At 39.5% G+C, this 20,124-nt stretch overlaps 1 protein-coding gene across 25 annotated transcripts in view; it reads left to right on the forward strand.

The window, feature by feature from the left end:
* SCEL (sciellin) overlaps positions 1-20,124 on the forward strand; it is a 109,558-nt gene that overhangs the window by 17,346 nt on the left and 72,088 nt on the right. For 18 of the 25 annotated variants that reach the window (NM_144777.3, XM_011535290.2, XM_011535283.2 and 15 more), the window contains exons 2-9: positions 2,806-2,867; positions 3,545-3,662; positions 6,753-6,812; positions 10,780-10,848; positions 14,629-14,697; positions 15,244-15,282; positions 16,320-16,400; positions 19,073-19,138. In NM_144777.3, coding sequence (NP_659001.2) covers positions 2,825-2,867; positions 3,545-3,662; positions 6,753-6,812; positions 10,780-10,848; positions 14,629-14,697; positions 15,244-15,282; positions 16,320-16,400; positions 19,073-19,138 — 545 coding nt within the window. In that variant the 5' untranslated portion in view covers positions 2,806-2,824. The remainder of the gene's footprint in view (positions 1-2,805; positions 2,868-3,544; positions 3,663-6,752; positions 6,813-10,779; positions 10,849-14,628; positions 14,698-15,243; positions 15,283-16,319; positions 16,401-19,072; positions 19,139-20,124) is intronic. The other 7 variants (XM_006719884.2, NM_001160706.2, XM_047430711.1 and 4 more) reach the window with 4 other exon arrangements.

Genomic DNA, 20,124 nt, shown 5'->3' on the forward strand with positions numbered 1-20,124 from the left:
CGTTTTAACTTAATCACCTCTTTAAAGGCCCTGTCTCCAAATATAGTCACCTGCTGAGATACTAGCGGTGGAAACTTCAACATACGAATTTTGGAGGAACGTGACTTGGCCAATAACAAGCACCCAGGGAGCACCTACTCTCTCCCAGATGCTGGGAATAGAAAGAAAAGATTTAGGCCTTTCCCACTGGAAACAGTCTCTTGGGAGGTACAGAAAAATAAGCAGATAATTGTAAAATACTCTTTCTCCATATACCCTGTCTTTTGTCTCACAATTGCATTTACTGTCTCTGCAGATGTATCATTAATTATGCATTCAGCATTTTGACCACCTGAGAATTCCAGTGCAATCAGCTGAGAACTCTCCAGGTCTTTATCGGCTAAGAGAAAAAAAAATATATCAGAGCCCATTTAGAAACAGGAAAGAGGCTAGCCAAAAGTCCTGAGACACACTGCCAGACAGAGGCAAAATAGTCACTAGTTGAGCTTTAAGTTTGCCTTTAGGTATTTCTTTACCTTCATTTTGCCAGAGTTTATCTATGCAGCCTCCAAACACAGCCAGCCAGGGGATCCCTGACACTCCCGGTGTGCTCAGCTGCCCAAGTTCAAGTCTGTCCCATCCCTTCCCACATCCAACCATACGTCTCCTATGTCTTTGCTCTCTGCTTGTCAAGGTGATAGAGTATGGAGTTAAAACTTACTGAGCACCTACTGTGTGCTGGGCAATAATTAGACACTTTACATATGTTATCTAGTAATATTTGAACCTCATAATGTTCCTATTTCACCTCATGATGCAAATAAGAGACCTGAGCTAATAACATACCTAAGGTGACACAGTCAGTAAACAGCATCACTTAGATGCAGTTCTTTCTAACTCCACTAAGATCTTCAGACTCTTGGTTATTCATGCAGCAAACAGCTGCGGGTCCCTGTGAAGGTAATGGTCATGATGAATACATTGGTTCTTAATCCACATCTTAGGTCAGGTTTCCCAGAAGCCGTTTCTGAGAGGCATTTGGGTGCTTGTGGCTTATTGAGGCTGTGCTTTCAGGAGAAGGGAGTGAGGCAGGGGGAGGCCAGCGAAGGAAGTGAGCAAGGATGTGCTCTCTGCTGGTTGAACTACAGCCGGATCCCAGCTCTGAAGTGCGAGTCACTGGATAGAAGTGATTCTATCTTGAGGCAAGGGACTGACCTTTTTTATCCCGAGTCAGTCAGCAGGTTGTAGTGAGTGGGGAGGTTGTGAAACCAGTCAGGCCTAACAGCGAAGGGCAAATCCTCAAGGAAGGTGCAGTCATGAGCCTGTAGCTGCCAAGCTTCAGACTGGTGAGGGGAACCTGATCTGGACACTTACAGCCTCCACCTCTGATCTTCTGCAGTGCTACTGACATTCCAGAAACAGACCCCAAGGAAAATAATACGTTGACCCAAAGCAGTGTGTCTTTCCTACTTCAGGTCCTATGGCAAGTTGTTGCAGGAAATACTTTCACATTAGAGGATAGGAGGTGGGGGCTTTTAGAACCCCAAATTATAGCTATAGACAGCTGTCCAATAATACTGCCTTAAGTCCAATAGCATTGATAGTTTAACAAAGTAGTTTTTTATGTACATTATTCATTTGATCATCGCAGCAACTTAGGAAGTAGATGGCAGGTTTCAATAGCCTCATTTTGCAGGGAGGTTAAGTGGTTCATTCTCAGACGTTGAACGTGATAAAGATGGACCTAAAACTTGCTTCTGACTTGAGCTTGAATGCCCCTCCTATGGTCCATACTACACAGTCTGGGTGAGATGGACACTGGAAAGGACATAATACCCCACCTAGGGTGACCAGCCATCCAGGTTTGTCCAGGACTTTTCTGGTTTGAAAACTGAAAGTCCCACTTTCAGGAAGACCCAGAGCTAACTAAGGCACACAAAGGCCCCCAATATATTTATGATCCACAAAAGCATTCTAATTTTAATTTCTTTCAATCACAAGAAAAATATTGATATAATAATAATAATAATGAAGCCAGCCAGGATTATATTCATACTAACATAGTCATAAGATACAATTTTAAATTTGTGTGTGTGTGTATGTCTGTGTGAATAAGAAGGGACCCTGAAGGCAAAAGCGCCTAGGACCCATAAAGTCATAATTCAGTTCTGGGGAACTGGATCAGTCCTGGGCAGACTGGTGCTGTGGGTTACCTTAACCCCTTAACACCAGAAGAGTAGTTCAGGAACTTTGAGTTTTCCATGTGGCGGTTGCCTAAAATCACCAGTGTTTCTCCAAGTCTGTGATTTCCATATGCCTGGCTGCTTTCCTTCTAATTACACAGCAGTTTCCTGAGTTTGCTTTGGCTTTTTTCAGGAAGCAGCTGAGGAGCCCTTCTTTGGGCGTTCACAGTGTGCTGTGGGTTCAGCACAATCTCTCTCTCTCCCTCTTGACTATGCCCAGACACTTGTCTAACTCATTTTTCTGTCCCCAGCACCAGGCTCAGTGCCAGGCAGACTGTAAGCATTCCATGCGTAATTATTGATTGAATAAATGAATTCACTGATGGCCTGATTCTACCGATTGCTTATGATACAACACTGGAATCACAAAACTCCCTGTGCCTCATTTTCTCCATCTGTAAAACAAATATGTTGGAAGAGATGAACTCTTGGGTTCTTAGGGGCACTTTATGTCATGCATTTGTTATGACAGATCCTGTGACTATGTCACTGTCATTGAAAAGTGAATCTCAGTCATGAAACAGTCACTTACAGGTTCTCAGAGTCATTGATGTGCTTTCTCTATTTCCCATTTTTCTTTTAGGTCCTTACTGGAAGGCAGCATGTCCAATGTTACCTTGAGAAAAATGTCTCCCACAGGAAATGGTAATGTACATGATGTTTCTCTCACTCAGAAAACTTTAAAATTTTGGAAAAACAACTCACAGATCTCAATTCTTTAATACAGATATTGAATGCTTAGAAACAACAGTCTAATTTAATTAGCATTGCAAAGTTAGGCTTAAGAAAAAGTATACTTGTCGCAGCTTTTAGTCATGTAATTGGAATTCAATTTTTTTAAAATTAATAAAAATATCTTTTTAAAAATATGACCTTCTTTGTGTTTGGCTCTTACAGGATAAAAGAATTAAGTTACTTAGAATCAAATGACCAGGACTTATTGACTATTACTATGTATTATAAAAACAGTCTTTTGTGGGCTTCCAGGGTATATTTCTTATGGGGTAAAAAGGCCAACCCACTAAATCCTGGCTCAGTTTATCCCAGGCTGGGAGTTCTCCTTTCCCAGGAACTGGATGGGGCCTCATGAGTGGCACTGGCAGTTTCAGTTGGCACCTGAGCAACTTTATGTGTTATCTTTGGTGATGGGGTGTGGGATCTGTTCTTTCTTGCTGGTGCATCCTACTTTGAAACAGTACTGGACTTGCCAGCCCAGATTGATGCTGGCCAATCAGATGTGCCTCTCAGGATTTTCAGGTTAACAAGCCCACGCTCAACTCCACACTATTACATCTTCCAGTCTTTCATGTTTCTGTTGATAGAGATGAAGAGCACCACTCAGGGAACCACACGGAAGCAGCAGGATTTTCACGAGGTGAACAAAAGAAGAACTTTCTTACAGGATAACAGTTGGATAAAGAAACGCCCTGAAGAAGAAAAGTAAGCTGGTGTGGAGCGTGGTGGGTGGACAGAAGGGCAGAGAGAGGCATTATCTGTTTGGGAAGCTAATGCTCATCTGAAAAGTGAATACTTTTCTCCTGAAACACTTTGTTGCATGGTCTAATTTTTGGTGAGACTTAGTAAGCACAAATAGGTTACATATCAGAGTTTCAAGAATATTTCTGCCATTTTAAATATCCACATGCATAAGAGAGTGTGAGTCATTACTGAGAGAGAGCCTGGTTATTACCTAGGATAGATGTTTGTGCTTACTTGGTAAACTGAAAAGAAAACATGACTTTCCAGTTTCCAAAAAGGTAACAGTTAATCCATGATCGGACAATCCTGCTCTGTTGATCATGTCAGCTGAAATAAACAAAAAGAGTGTAATTCCAAATTTAACATATAAAATTTTGGTATGTACAAGAGAAATTTAAAAAATTACCGACTTATTTTAGTTCCATCTACTTCTAAGTACTGGGAAGGTGGGATATATGGTATTACTTTGTAAGTACTTACAACCAACAAAATTTTGTTTGTTTTGAGCATTGCTTCTACTAGCTGAGAGGTTTAAAGATTTGAAAACTATGGCCATAGGCATATAGCCTCATTGGCAATATAGATTTGCAATAGGTATTTGTCCAGCAATAGGTATTTGTCCGATTATATATTATGTTATGTGTATATTATAAATTATGTAGACATTTTATGATTTCTTTGTTATTAAGCTTGGTGTTAGATACTTTACATATAAAGCACCACTAATTTTACAATAAAACACAACGTAGGTGTTATATCTCCTCATTTTACAAAAGAGGGATCTGAGCTCAGAGAAGCTAAGTAACTTGTCTAATGGCACATAGCTATTTAGTGGTAGAGTTGAGATTTTAACATGGCCCATTGTTTTTCCATTACACGAATGTTTCTCAACCAGGGGCAATTTTACCTCCAGCAGACATTTGGCAAGGTTGGGAGACATTTTTGTTGTTAAAATTGAGGAGTGCTTCTGGTATTTAATGCGTAGAGAACAGGGATGCTGGTAAACATCCTATAAATCACGGGACAGCTCCCATACAAAAAATTATCAAACCCAAAGTGTCAATAGTCCTGCAGTTGGGAAATCCTGCATTATAGGATACTTACTCTAAACTATCTACAAACTCTGCAGATATGGTTATTTGAGGGGCATTCTTGTGAATGTTAAATTTAAAATATCTATTAATTTCTGTTATTGAGTATTATTTCAAGGAAATATATGGGTGTTTAGAGATTTAGAGACTCACACTAACTTTTGGAGTTAGCACTATTGGACAACAATCATTTCCTTCCATGAAACAGCATTTATTGCTTCTGTCAAAGCATTTCCAATTTTCTGTAGTGATAGTGTCATGTGACATGTAGACCATACATTTTGGATTGCCAATATTTACACAGACGAGTGACGATAGAATGTATAAGACAAATCACAGTTGGGAGGAATGTTGCTTTTATGCCAGGCATGCTTTCCCAGGAAAACCCAGGGAAGCCAGCTTGGATGGCATAGGAGCTACTGAATGAAGGGAAAATTGGCTTTGATGCTTCCCTGATTCCCCCAGCCCAGTTCTGGGCTGTGTGTTATAATTCCGCCTCAGATAAAAACATGTCTGGTATCTGCTCCTCTTTCAAAAATTTCATTAAGAGATATGGAGGAAGATAGGAAAGTTCTCTCGGGGTCTTTGAGAATGTATATTTGCTGGCATTGTTTCATTTTTACTGTTTATGTTTCTGTTTAATTGTCTACTACAGTTCTTTTATAGCTTCATTAAAAATGGTACCGGAGGCCGGGCGTGGTGGATCACTCCTGTTATCCCAGCACTTTGGGAGGCCGAGGCGAGCAAGTCACTTGGGGTCAGGAGTTTGAGACCAGCCTGGCCAACAGGAAGAAACCCTGTCTCTACTTTAAAAATACAAAAATTAGCCGGGCGTGTTGGCGGGCACCTATAATCCCAGCTACTCAGGAGGCTGAGACAGGAGAATTGCTTGAACCGAGGAGGCAGAGGTTGCAGTGAGCCGAGATATCGCACCACTGCACTCCAGCCTGGGCGACAGAGCAAGACTCTGTCTTACAAAAAAAAAAAAAAAAAAAAAGGTACCAGAGTGTTAAGTAATGTTAGTAGAGCATAACCAGGAAAAATGTGGTATTTCAGGTTTTGTTGGGTTGACATGAAATAGGTTCAGTTACTTTCTGCCTTGGCTCAAATCCAAAGACTTCACTACGTGTTTTGACATTTCCTGAAAGGGCCTGTACTTTCAGTTCCACTGTACAAAGTAAGAATGATATTACTTTGAGATTTTACATATGAAGGTCGATTGTAGGGTTGACCAGTAGGAAAAGCAATGATTTGGAATGAAAATATCTGGGTCCTAGACCCACCTCTGTTACTTGCTAACCTTGTGGTCTTAGGAAAGCCACAAAATCCCCTATCAGTTTTCTCATCTGTGAACTGGATATGACAGTGTCTTCGCTGCCTAATTCATAGGATTATTTTAACAACTAACTAGAGCAAACTGTATTCTCATGGTTCAAAAGTAGGCTAGGTCTCCTGTGAATTATAAATCTCCTTAACCACAAATATTGGTACTGAGTTTCCCACATTTTATGAAGGAGAACTGTCAAGTCCACCAACATACCCAGACGTAATGGGCTTACTTAAACTTAAACACAATTTGTGGAAAGCTTTTGTATTTGACTTCATGCCAAAAAGGACTCTTCTAATACATATAAAGTAAATGGGCTCATATTCCCACAGTCTGATAAAACACAACACAACACAACACAACACAACACAACACAACACTCATTCATTGTTGAATCATGTGGAAACCTCATGGGATAAATGATCATTTGTACTGACAAACTTGTTTCTTTTCTCATGCTCTTTCAAGTGGTGACTGGTTAAAATAGATACATAATTTTGTGTTCTCACAACTGAAGTAAAATGAATTAACCTTGCCAAAAATTGGGAGCTCGCCCGCATGTCTCTCTCATTTAGTGCTTGGTCAACATTGTGGTAACTTTCTATGTGACATACTTTTGTTCTTTCTTTGCAGAGATGAAAATTACGGTAGGGTGGTGCTCAACCGACATAATTCCCATGATGCATTGGACAGGTGGGTGTTTAGACATGTTACATCATGAGCAGAAACACAAAGATGGTAGTTTTCAGAGAAGACTTGTTCAAGACAGCTGAATATTTGCAGCATGCCTTGGGCTTTCCCCGATGTTCTGGGCATGTGAAGGAGAATCTGTGATATCATCAGAGGTTTCCACAAGGAAACTCTGCCTCTCCAGAACCATGACTTGGAGGCAGAACATAACCAACCCTCTGTGCATCCCACTGAGGTGATCCTCCTGACAGGCAGGGAAAGGACTCTCATAGAAACACGATCATATCAGGCCGGGTGCCATGGCTCATACCTGTAATCCCAACACTTTGGGAGGCCAAGTTGGGAGGATCTCTTGAGCCTAGGAGTTAGAGACCAGCCTGGGCAACATGGCCAGACCCTGCCTCTAAAAAAAAAAAAAAAAAAATTAATTAGCTAGGTGTGATGGTGCGCACCTGTCGTCCCAGCTACTCCAGGGGCTGAGGTGGAAGAATTGCCTGACCTTGGGACATTGAGGCTGGAGTGGGCAGTGATGCTCCATTGTACTCCAGCCTGGGTGACGGAAGAAGACCCTGTTTCTCAAACAAACAAACAACAACAGCAACATGACCAGATTACATATCTCTGAACCTTAGGGAAAGGAAGTCTAAAATACAGAAATAACAACTACAGAGTTCACTTGCTTTATGGGACAGTACCTTTCTTTTTGGAAACTCCTGGGCTAGTGGGAAAACATGAACTGATCCTCAGTGGCAAATAGACTGATCAAAGCAAATTAGTAGAAAAATTAAGACAAAACAGTAATCACAATGATACAAATAATCTCAGATTGATAAAAATAGAGAATATTCTTACCACAACACAGTTGTACTCACATCCATACAAACAACCACACCCATCAGAAGAACCTAATTATTTATCAGACACAAATTTTATCTGGTCTAGTAGCTTGTGTCTGTTTGTCATTTAAATGTAATTAGAAAGGGAGTGTGAATGTCTTCTATGGTGTGGATCTTAAAAAGTTAAGCAGACACTTGGGACACGTCTATTTTGGAAACTTTTGTTTATGAATTTCTGTCAACCCTTTTAAACTTTTTCATAATTGTGACCTGTTTTAAGGGTGCTGAGCTTATAACCTTCTACACAGAGTTGCCATTTCATTTTCCTGATGCCAGCTTTAGTTCATCTGATTTACTGTTCTGTGATCTGGCAGACTCTCTGCCGAGGCCCTGTCCTTAGTCTTTATGGTTTTGAAGATCACAGCCTGGTTCTCAGCTGGCTCTGATTCCACCAACAAAGGAGAGGCTCACCATTTGAGTCCAGCCACCTCTATGTTACTCACCTTTCTCTGGAACATTTAAGAACAGAAATGCTTGTGTTTTTTAAGTGTGAAATACGCTTCATATTCTTAATGTACATACAATGTGTTTTAGGTTAACAAGAGCTTAATGCCTTTCATGCTTATTTCATATTTTAAATTGTATTCGTTTCCTGAACCCTTCCTCATGGTGGCCAACATTGTGGCTAAAGTATAATATCAGTCTTTTAAGGAACAAAAATCTGTAAGCCCTAGACATTTCCCTCTTGACCTATAACTAACATCACAGAATCAATCTCCCTAAAAGAGTAGGGCAGATTATTTTTCTCCTGGTACTTGCTCAGAGGGTATCACTTGTCATTTTTCTGCTCTGCAGAGGATGTCTTTACCTTGATGCCCACTGAACAGCCACTTTGGAGCACCTGCTATGTGCCAGCATTGTGCAAGGTGCCAGGAATACAAAGATGCATAGAACATAATCTTTGACCTGAAAATATCCACAAATGAAAATACTAAAGTTTATCACGGAAAGTGCTATAGTAGAGGTGTGTGAGTGCACTATGGGAATAGAAAAGAGGGGAGACTAACTCTGCCTAAATAATCAGAGATCTCACCAAGGAGGTGGTCTTTGGTGTTGGCGATGATGCTTGAAGGATTATGAGGAAAAATTTCCCAAATGGGCAAGGCTGGCTGGTGGGCATGGAGCAAGGAAAGAAGCACTTCCAGCAGAGATGACAATGTGTGCAGAGAGCTGGCATGAGTGGGGTCTGAAAATAAAGGAAAATAAATAATACACTGTCATCACCTTAGATAATACCTTCATATTATCCACAATTGGAAAGTTTGACCATGTACATGTTCTGGTAGATCATTTAAACATGTCAAATAAGGATGACAGCCAAATAGCACCTGTAGGAGGCCTCCTGTGCATCAGTAGCTGTGTTAAGAGCTGCAAACAAAACAAAGTCCCTGCTTCCACAGAACTTGCATCCTAGTTGAAAGTGAGGGAGGGGAGAGAATGAAAATAACATGTTGAAACATGTCTTATTGTGATAAGCAGTAGGAAGACAACGGCCACCTAGAGACATAGTGATGGTGTCTGGGGAGGGGCTGTTTTCTGCAAGGGGACAGATGGCCCTCCGGCACCTGCTTGCATTTACACATTTACACACGATGGTGAACCACACCATGATTTCACTCTGGGGTTGTATTAAAAATTGGGGGAGTTGTATTTGGCATTTTTCTTCACTCTTTTTCTTGCCTTAACTGATGCTGTTCCCTCTACCTCTATTCGAAAATGTTCACATCTATTTCCCCTCCAAGGCCCAGCTCAAACTGCACTTCATTCCATAAAGCCTCCTCTGGTTTGTATACCTAGAAATCAGCTTTCTCAGCTTAGAACTTCCTTACACCTTACCCAAACCTCTTTTATGGCACTCACTACTTTCTGTCTTTGGATGTACATACCTGATTTATCCGTCTTGCTCTGTGTAGATAGCAGCTATAGTTATTTTATTCTAGACTTCCTTATATTTCTCAGTACAACAGTGTTGATTAATATAGCAAATGTTACTTTCTCCACTACTAATATAGCAAATATGCTTTTTGCACTATTCCTAGCCCTTTTTATATTGAGTACATCCAAATAGTTGCTTAATGAAAATATGCCACATCAACTTTAAAATTAAATCTTTAGTATCTAGTCTTAGTACTTATTCTAATGCAATACTTTGGATATGATGGCTTTAAATGATACTTAGAAATACAAACACAATAAATAATGGGGAATTCTCCAAAGAGCTTGCTTGCTTTATATCATAGGGTTATATGAGGCATTAAACAGGCTTTTTTAAATGTTTGATCAATCTGATCAGGATCTTTCCTTTGCTTCCATGATCACGATTCCTTCTACTGAGTCTTCTATCCTCTTTTCTGTTATTTTCTAAATTCCCCCCCCATTTTTGCTCATCTGTCTTGCTCTCCTCTCTTTGCCCTTGTCTCTCCTCTTCTTCTTCCTATCACTCTTCTCTCTTCCTCTTTTCCTTCTATCCTTCCTTTCTCTCACTTCCCACTTTCTCCTTTTCATTTTCCCCAGCTTTTCCTGTTTCCTTCCTTTCCTTTCCTTTCTTTCCTGTCTTTCCCCTCCTTCTGCCTGTAAGTTCCCTTCTTTCAACCCTGTCCACGGTGCTGAATATTAAACAAAGCATTTATGGATTTAGTCCATGGTGCTGGTTTATGGCACTGCTAAAACTCTGCAAACAAAATATAGTTGAGTATAAAAGATTGAGTTCCTATTATGTAGAAATAAACAACATTGACAAGAGTACATATTAGTTATTAAACATTTTGAGTGTTGTGTTGTTTGTTGTGTTGTATGATTTACGTATCCTTACCCCTAATTTGAATATGTTACATTGTTGTCAGAAATAATAGAAGCCAGAGAAGAATCTTTTATTAGCATAGGATATTGGATTTTCCATAATTTATTCTATCCAAGTTGGAAGATTTGGGTATTAGAAATCTATCTTTCCTTGGTAACATGTATATTTCCTACTGAAATAGGTCAAAATATTGCCATATGTATGATAGGTTTTATAAACTTTTTTTTTGTAATTGATTTGATTTTTTTTTTTTTGGTAATTATGTTTGCTACAGGAAAGTAAATGAGAGAGATGTGCCAAAAGCTACAATTAGTCGGTACAGTTCTGATGACACTTTGGACAGGTAAGGGGCTTTTGAACCATATAAATGGAATGCATAACATATTAAATACATTTTCTAATAAAGTTATGAAGTATTTAAAAGTTTACCAAAATAAGGTTTGAATCACTGATATTTTATTCCCAGGGATGGAGGGCTCTAAGAATTGAATTATCTTCTTCAGATCTCACTAAATCTTGGCTAGATGCATTTCCAAAATCTTTTTAATAGTAGATTGATATGAAATATTCTTAGAGACACTGATTTGAGTACAGCTAGGGTGGGTACTGTGCAGAATCTGTTAGTTCAATATAGGTTTTTTTTTTTTTTTTTGCGAATATGTATAATCCTTGTTCCAACATTTGGTTCTTCCACACTGATGGTGGAAAAACGTTAGTCCATGCAACTGCTTTATGGAGAGACTGTAAATTTTAATAATACAATAGTTTCAATCCACTCCAGGACAGAGACGTTAGCTCTTTACTTTCTCTTTAGAAGGTGAAAATACTCTTTTGACACTGGAGTCTCCATAGGGCTGATAGAATGAGTCCAACGTGTGTGCCTCCTGTTAGTTCCTTCTTACATGGAGGGAAAGGGCTCATCTCTACAGGGAAAATAGGGCAACTTCTATTCAGGTTGAAGTATAAATGCCACAAATCAAATTTTTAGTTTAGATTTGGTAGAGGCGCTTAGTAAGCATAAGTAAAGGACAAAGTTAGCATCTTTAATAGGAGTCTTTTGGACTCCTATTAAATAGGCACCATAAGTACCCAAAGCCAGTGCTAGTTGAGTTTACTCCCTGCAGCTAAAGATGTGCTGCAATTGCAGGCAAAAATGGCACCTACTGGGTTTTAAGCAAATACATGGTAACTTACAGCATCCAATAGATTCTAAACTCAGACTATGCCAGTGTTGATTAATGTAGCAAATGTATATACCTTCTGCATTATTCCTAGGCTTTCAAGTCAGTCACCCTAATAGAGGACAATCAATGCTGGTATCCTAAAGAGTTGGTCTTTCTCTTTTAAAAATTATCATCCTTGTCAAAAATGAGTTTGTAGTATATGTACAAGATCTCATCTCCACAGCGGTGCATAGAGAAGAGGTATATAAAATACCTCTGTCCATTCATCCTGGTCTTGCAGATGGTTAATTGAAGAAGGAAACCCTATTTCTAGGAATGAATTTTAAAGTGAGATAATTGAGACTCAAGTAAGGTGGAAAACCTAAGCTTTTGTAGGCTGTGCATCTGAACGTTTATGTCAGGCCAGCCGAGATACAGCCTAGGAATGTGGGAAATAGACTAGACCTCACAGGCAATGTAGTTAGGTCATTCTCAGCCTTAGCTATAAATTAGTACCACTGAGTGGGCTCTTAAACTTTATTGATGCCTTGGTCCTACTACCCCTCACTCCCCAAATTCTGATTTAATTAGCCTGAGGTGGAACTCAAGCATTTTTTTTCAAGCTTATAGAGTAATTCTTATGTGCAGCTGAGATTCAGAACCACCAATATAGCTCAAGCCCTTCATTTTATACCCTCAAAAGCAGGCCCAGAGATTACATGATCTATTTACACACTTTAGTGGTATGTTTGGGCAAAGTATCCTGGCAGCTCATTCCCAAGGCACTAAATGTGGAAATAGATTTGAGGAAGAGAACACAGGGGTTAGTAAAGAAAGGCAAGTCCTGTTAGCAGGAGCTGAACTTCTGTAATACAGACCACTCCAAAATGTAAGACATGAAATAATTTTAGGAGGAAGATGATCAAATATATCTGGTATGTGTGCATTTGCATTTTAATAATGATGCACTTGTTTTAATGAATATGAGAAAAGTACTGAGTTTACGTTTGAAAAGTTCCCTTTAAAATATACTTATGTGTGTAAAATGTGAGGTGTGCAAAAGAGACATAAATAAATGTGTATGTAGCATCCAGAGACAGTGGGTTATAACTAATTTGGAAAACCTAGGTTAGGAGGCCCTCTAGTGCTCCATTGTGAAAGTATAACTTCTCCTTCGGCTTTTCTGATCATGCTGCTAATTACATTGTTTGGTATTTCAAGTCTCCAAGACAGATTTTTATTAAAACAACCTATTTTATATCACAAGTTGACAGAAATTTAATTTCCAGGATAAATACAAAATTAATCTCCCACAGCAATAAGAAATCAACATACATATTGGAATGGTGGTTTAGAGTTCTCTCCATTACCATTGATAGACTTATTCCCCGGGTAGCATGATAGAGACTATGAGAGGTGACTAAAGAGTAAAGGAAGGTCTGTTAACCTAATATATGAGTTTTGGGAACAATCATACTACAGAATCGAATATATGACATTGGATCCCAGTGAACGATTTGGGAGATAGACTACTTTCTACTTGTGTTACCAAGAGAAAGCCATGCAATAACTCTGAGACTCCATTTATTTATCTATAAAATGAAAATCATTATACCTACCTTGTAGGGATGTTCTAGAGAGTAGAAAAAACATATCAAATGACCAGCAAGAAGTACTAGGTATGAGACAAGGAAAGAAGGAACAGGGGCCGAAGTTATGAGATCCCACCGTTGGCATATAATGATAACCTTCCTTATTTGTGCTTTCTGACTCAAGAAGCAGATGAACACACCTTTTCTAGATCTATGAGATTAGAATGATTAAAATCTCTAATGATCATTTGGACTCATTACATGTATTAGTCAAAGTAAACTAATTTGTCAAGGTAGAGTAACTTTTTAACAAATCTGCTTCCTCTCTTCCAAATCTAATGGTTTAACACACTATAAGGTACTACTTGACACATCAGAGTCCAATGTGATTTGCTGGAGTCCATGAAGTGACTCAGGGACCTAAGTTCTTTCTATATTTTAATGCCGCCATATTTATGCTGCCATGCATACCAAAGCCATAGTAGAAGGGGGAATAAATAACAAGGAAGACCACCAGGAGGTTTTACAATGGGTCTGGAAGTGGCAGATAACGTATCTGCCCACACTCTTTAGTCTAGAGCTCAATCACATGGCCCCAACTTAATTGCAATGAAGGTTGGAAAATGTGGTCTCCCTGATTGCTCAGAAAGAAAAGAAAATGTGTTTTGCAAACACATAATATTGTTTATGCCACAAACCTTAAAAAAAAAGCCAAGTAGTTCATTGATGCCTTTTACTGACATAGGAAGTACTGTCATTGACAAGATATATCATTAGAAAATAATGAAAATGAAAATAGAGTTAAATGCTCAATGAGTCAGAAAGACAAACAGGCAAAAGGCATAACACTTAAAATTTCAGGCTGGGTGCCTTGGCTCACACGTGTAATCTCAGCACTTTAGGAGGTGGAGGCGGATGGGTTACCTGAGGTTAGGAGTTCGAGACCAGTGTGGCCAACATGGTGAAACCTCTTCTCTACTAAAAATACAACAATTAACTGGGCGTAGGGGTGCGTGCCTGTAGTTCCAGCTGCTCAGGAGGCTGAGGCAGTAGAATAGCTTGAACCCTGCGGGCAGAGGTTGCAGTGAGCTGAGATCACACTACTGCACTCCCGCCTGGGCAACAGAGCAAGACTCCATCTCAAAAAATAAAATAAAATTTCAAACTATATTAAAACAACCTCATAAGTAGATTTTGTCATAAGTGGTTTCTTTTTATTTAAAAATTTTCTAAAATGTAACACTTGAAAAATAGTTCTCTTTACTAGAGAAAGGCTATGTTGTTAAGCTATTCTAGCATGAAAATGGTCTGAAAGGAGTTTGATAATTTAAATATTTATCCAGACTTTTGTCTTGTTTCTTTATAAAGGATCTCAGACAGAAATGATGCTGCTAAAACATATAAGGCCAATACCTTGGATAACCAACTAACCAATAGGTACCAGTATCTACTAACTATGGGAAAGGCTCAAGTATAATATTTTTCTAAGTGTTACCTATGTACTTGCAATTCTTCAATCCTACTTGATATCTTTCTGTAAATTCTTAGTCTCTATCATTACTCCTGTTCATGGCTAGAATAAAACCTTGTTGTTTAGCTTAAGAATCAAGAGCACTTGTAGCTCCAAATCACCATTCTTACCACATTTATGTTTCTGTTTAAGTTGTCCTGGTGGCAAAATTATGAAATAGGTGCAAATGCAAATTTTACATTATTATTGTTAAGGAAAATTACTGAACCCAACAAATAAAAATATTGGGCTTAAAAGATACTAAATTTTCAGAAGAAAAAAAATTCTTTGGAATCTAGTACAAGAGACAAAATCATGAAATCATCTTATGAAATTTATTAAAATATGATGCTTTCTATTTCTTTCTCTCACCAGTGTCTAACTTTTAAAACTCTAAATTCAGGAATAATTCCAAATAGATGCAAATGTTCATTCTTCATTGTTCAAACTTTGCTTTCTTTCTCTCTTACCAGGAGCATGTCCATGTTTAGATCACTGGAAGTAACAAAGTTGTATGTATTCTTTCTAATTGTAGTATATTTCTTTTTATGTATTCAAGAAAAACCAGGGAAAACCACCTCAGGCCAATTTTATTGGAATACAGCCATGCCCCTATTGCTCTGGCAGAGTTGAGTAGTAGAAGACAATACCAAAATGGTCTGTAAAGGTTCAAATGTGACTATCTGGACTTTTGCAGAAAAAAAAGATTGCCAATCATTACTCTATCCAAACACCAAAGCTTAGATCATCCTTTCTTTCTTCTTCTTTATTAAAATCTAGACTCCTTATTTTTTCCCCTACAGGACTTTTCTTCCCTCTACTCTCACAATAATTAACCCTTCCTCCACACCTCACTTCCTTCCCCACCCACCCTTCACATCTATGCCTCCTCCTTCAGAGAAAATTGAATTGGGAAAACATGGGGTGAGCTAAAAATCTATTTAAATGGAACACATTTTCCCTGGAATGTACTACTGATGGTTATAAGCAGCCCAAATCAGACAGATTTATAAACTTACTTTATTTTTGAATTCCTATTTATGTATAAAGTAATTTATACACTGGATCACACCTCTCAGTGCTTGAAATGGGCCTGGGTCACTTCCATTTTTGAGGCTCTGCATATATGAATAAATGCCAGATAGAGACTTAAGATGGTATGATTTAAAATTTTTTATTAAGCAATAATGCTTCTAATGCAAAAAACCGCAACATAATTAGTTAGTCACAATATAATCACAGGAATAAAAGAAATGTGAATCTGTAGCACGCCAGAATTGATTTGTCTGAATTTCCGACAGTTAATGTCATTTTATGAATCACTTCTTTATTCTATTCCTTTAGTTTTAGCTAGTTCTATGAGAACCTGACAACTTCTAAAATATGTCAACTAAGGAAGAAGATTTTTGGCTGTTTTTCTATCCCCAAGTGAAACATTTTATGAACAGAGAGCAGGCAGGAATATGAGTAGAATTTAAGACTTTTCAAAGGTAGGCTGAAATGAAAAAGTTTGAGAGTGGGATTAATTGTTGTTCTTGTCATTAAACAGGCAACCTGGCGGTTCATTGAATGCCAACACCTCCAACACCATAGCATCCACTTCTGCTACTACTCCTGTAAAGAAGAAGAGGTAGGATGAACTCACTGTGTCTACCTCTTGCTGATACACTATGAAAGACTGCATTAGAAAGCTTCCTCCTCTTTTTTGTGGGGATCCAGCATCTACATTCTGCTGTTCCCAAACTTCAGCTCTTTCCCCCAGCAATCTCTTTCTCAAATATAGAGTCTTGTTTTCAATTCCTGTAGGGCCTTGAATTTCTAGGAAATGTTTTAGATGATAGAGCTCGCATGTTAAATGACAGACTACTTGAGGTAGCATGTTTCATGGAGTCCTGCTGCTGGGAATGCCTTAACCTGAAATAATGATGAATGTAGGGCCACATGCTGCCATGCTCCTGAAACCGGCCTGTATCTGGAGATGCCGCCTCTGCTCTGTGGATTGGGCTGGCCTTGCTTCCAAATGCAGAGTCAAAGACCCTTTCTGGAGACATCCATCTGTATTTGTTTGGTTCTTGCCTCCTCCACCGACCTCCTCTGCATGGTCTCCCACATTCTGCTGGTGCTGAGTCCTATGTAATTAGCAGGTACAGAGGAGTAGTTGGACCAATGGTGACCAAATATTCTTCATGAGACAGAACATGATGGTGAAAGAGATGTTTGCATGTTGAAAAAACCCCAGGGCTATGAATTGTGATGCAAATGGAAAACAAGCATTTACAAACATCAGTGCTTTTAAATTTTCTCAATTTCCCTGTCTGTACCTGGGTCCATGCTCTGTACAGGGTAGGTGCTCAATGTTTGTTGATGGACTGGCTGACTTTGCCATGGTGCTGCTGGAGAAAAATGACTGATTCTGTTTTTTCCTTCAACAAAATTCTGGCTGTAGCTGCAAAGTCTTAGAAAATGTGATTCATCTTTCCATTGAACCCAAATTTCATGTCCCTTGACCCTTTGCCTAGTAAAAACAGATTCCTAAGTTTGAAAGAGAAATTTTAGGTCAGTCAGTTCCATCTCCTATCTAGTGCAAGAATCTTTCCTCCGACATTTTGGGCATAATTCGGGACCACTGAAGCCATCAATAAGATTCTCACTATTTTGGGACACATCTTTGACTTGCTCTCCTGGGTAGCATCTATTCCTTACATTGAGCTGGAATCTGCCTTGATTGACTCGTTCCTTGTCTTAGTTGAGTTCTGCAGCGGCTCAGAGAATAGACCTACTTAAACAATTTAAATCCAGCTTTCCTGTCTGCCTTTTCTTCTGTAGTGCATATCATTCTCATCTGAATATCTTCAGTTTTCATCCATATCTTGATCTTTCTGCTTAGCAATTGCTACCAACTAAAATTATGACCTAGTGATGTGAGGACATCTTTCTAATTGAGGTTAGAACTGAAGGTAGTGCTGCTATAATATTCACTTACGCTTTCAATATTTTTACTTGTCAGAGTTTTCTATCAGTTTCTTTTCTTTTTCTTTTTTCTTTTTCTTTTTTTTTGGAGTGTGCAGTGGTGCAATTTCGGCTCACTGCAACCTCTGCCTCCCAGGTTTAACCAATTATTTGCCTCAGCCTCCCGAGTAGTTGGGAGTACAGGCACATGCCACCACGACCAGCTAATTTTTGTATTTTTAGTAGAGATGGGGTTTCACCATTTTTGCCAGGCTGGTCTTGAGCTCCTGACCTCGTGATCCACCCGCCTCAGCCTCCCAAAGTGCTGGGATTACAGGTGTGAGGCCCTGCGCCTAGCTCGCTCACAGTTTTTTAAAAATTGTATTTTGAGGCCGGGCGCGGTGGCTCAAGCCTGTAATCCCAGCACTTTGGGAGGCCGAGGCGGGTGGATCACGAGGTCAGGAGATCGAGACCATCCTGGCTAACACGGTGAAACCTCGTCCCAGCAACTCGGAGGCTGAGGCAGCAGAATCGCGGAGGGCGGAGCTTGCAGTGAGCCGAGATCGCGCCACTGCACTCCAGCCTGGGAGACAGCGAGACTACATCTCAAAAAAAAAAAAAAAAATTATATTTTGAAGCTGGGCGCAGTGGCTCATGCCTGTAATCCCAGCACTTTCAGAGGCCGAGGCAGGTGGATCACCTGAGGTCGGGAGTTCGAGACCAGCCTGACCAACATGGAGAAACCCCATCTCTACTAAAAATTACAAAATTAGCTGGGCGTGGTGGTGCATGCCTGTAATCCCAGCTACTCAGGAGGCTGAGGCAGGAGAACTGCTTGAACCCGGGAGACGGAAGTTGTGGTGAGCGGAGATCGCGCCATTACACTCCGGCCTGGGCAACAAGAGCGAAACTCCGTCTCAAAAATAAAAATAAAAATAAAACATATATATATATATATATAGAGTAGAGTATAAGATTGTTATTTCTGTTGTGAAATAGTTCAGACAAGCAGAAAAATAGGGAGAATAGGAGAATAACATAATAAACATATATGAATTTACTATCTAGACTTAACAATTGTCATTGTTTTCTAGATTTGCTTTAGATTTCTTTTTAAAAGAGATGTCCACGTTACTTAGTGCTAAAGGAAATGAGAAAAGAGGTTTACTTGGAGGAACAGATAGCCTAGAATATAGGACAGTTACTTCCTACTTCATTTATGAAATAGTGTTCATTTTACTTCCAAGGTTTGGTATAATCTCATTGTCTTTTTAACTGTCAAATTATTTTCAGACATGTGGGTGGGATCAGCCTTTCAATCACAATGTTTATTACCGTGTCATTTCTTAACAGGCAGTCCTGGTTTCCACCGCCCCCTCCAGGTTACAATGCCTCCTCGAGCACAGGAACCAGGAGACGGTAAGGGAAAGGTGTCAGGCGTAATTGCTGTGCCATTAGATGGAAGAACATGTCAGACATTGACAACATATAATTGTGGATGTTTTGGGATAAATTGGAGGCAATCTCATGAACTCTCAGCTCTGTACAGGAGAGTGTCCAGTGGTTGTAAGGTCAGGGCTACCAAGTACCCTGATAGGACATCTGACAAACTGCTAGGAATGAGTAGGTGGCTGTATTAGATTGCTAGGGTTGCTTAGAGCCAAAATAAATGAGTGCCACAAACTGGGTGCCACAGACTGCCACGAAGTGCCACTGGGTGGCTTAAACAACAGGAATTTATTGTCTCATGGTTTTAGAGGCCAGAAGTCCAAAATCAAGGGTTCAGCAGAGTTGGTTCCTTCTGAGGACTGTTAGGGCTCCCCTAACTTCTGGTGGTTTCCTGGTAATCATTGACATTGCCCAGTTGGTACAAGCATTGACCTGATCGCTGCCTTCATCTTCACATGATCTTCTCCCTGTGTGCACGTCTGAGTCCAAATTTCCCTTTGTTATAAAGCAACTAATCATGTCTGTCCTACTACAGTATGACCTTATCCTAACTGAACTAATTACATCTGCAATGACCCTATTTCTAAGCAAGGTCACATTCTGAGGAATTGTGGATTAGGATTTCAACATGTGAATTTTGGGGGCAGAGGGGACACAACCCTTAACAGTGACAGTGGGAGAGAACAGAGTCAGGCATCAGACAGGGGTTCCAATGTGGGCTCTTGATGCCCAGCTGCCTCCAGGCTGTGCAGAACCTGGAGAACTGGATGAGGATATGTGTGGCAAGTTGTTCATAAACGTTAAGCGACAAATGAATATTTTCTAATTTTATTTTTTGTTGAGAGTAATAGTTATAACTAAATGATAGATCAGGTAGAGGACACCTTATTCTACAATTTCCATGCTAGGAATGCCAGCAACAATTCAATGTAATAAATATTTAATAAACACTGCTG

Source organism: Homo sapiens, chromosome 13 (assembly GCF_000001405.40).
Source record: "Homo sapiens chromosome 13, GRCh38.p14 Primary Assembly".
Taxonomy (NCBI): domain Eukaryota; kingdom Metazoa; phylum Chordata; class Mammalia; order Primates; family Hominidae; genus Homo; species Homo sapiens.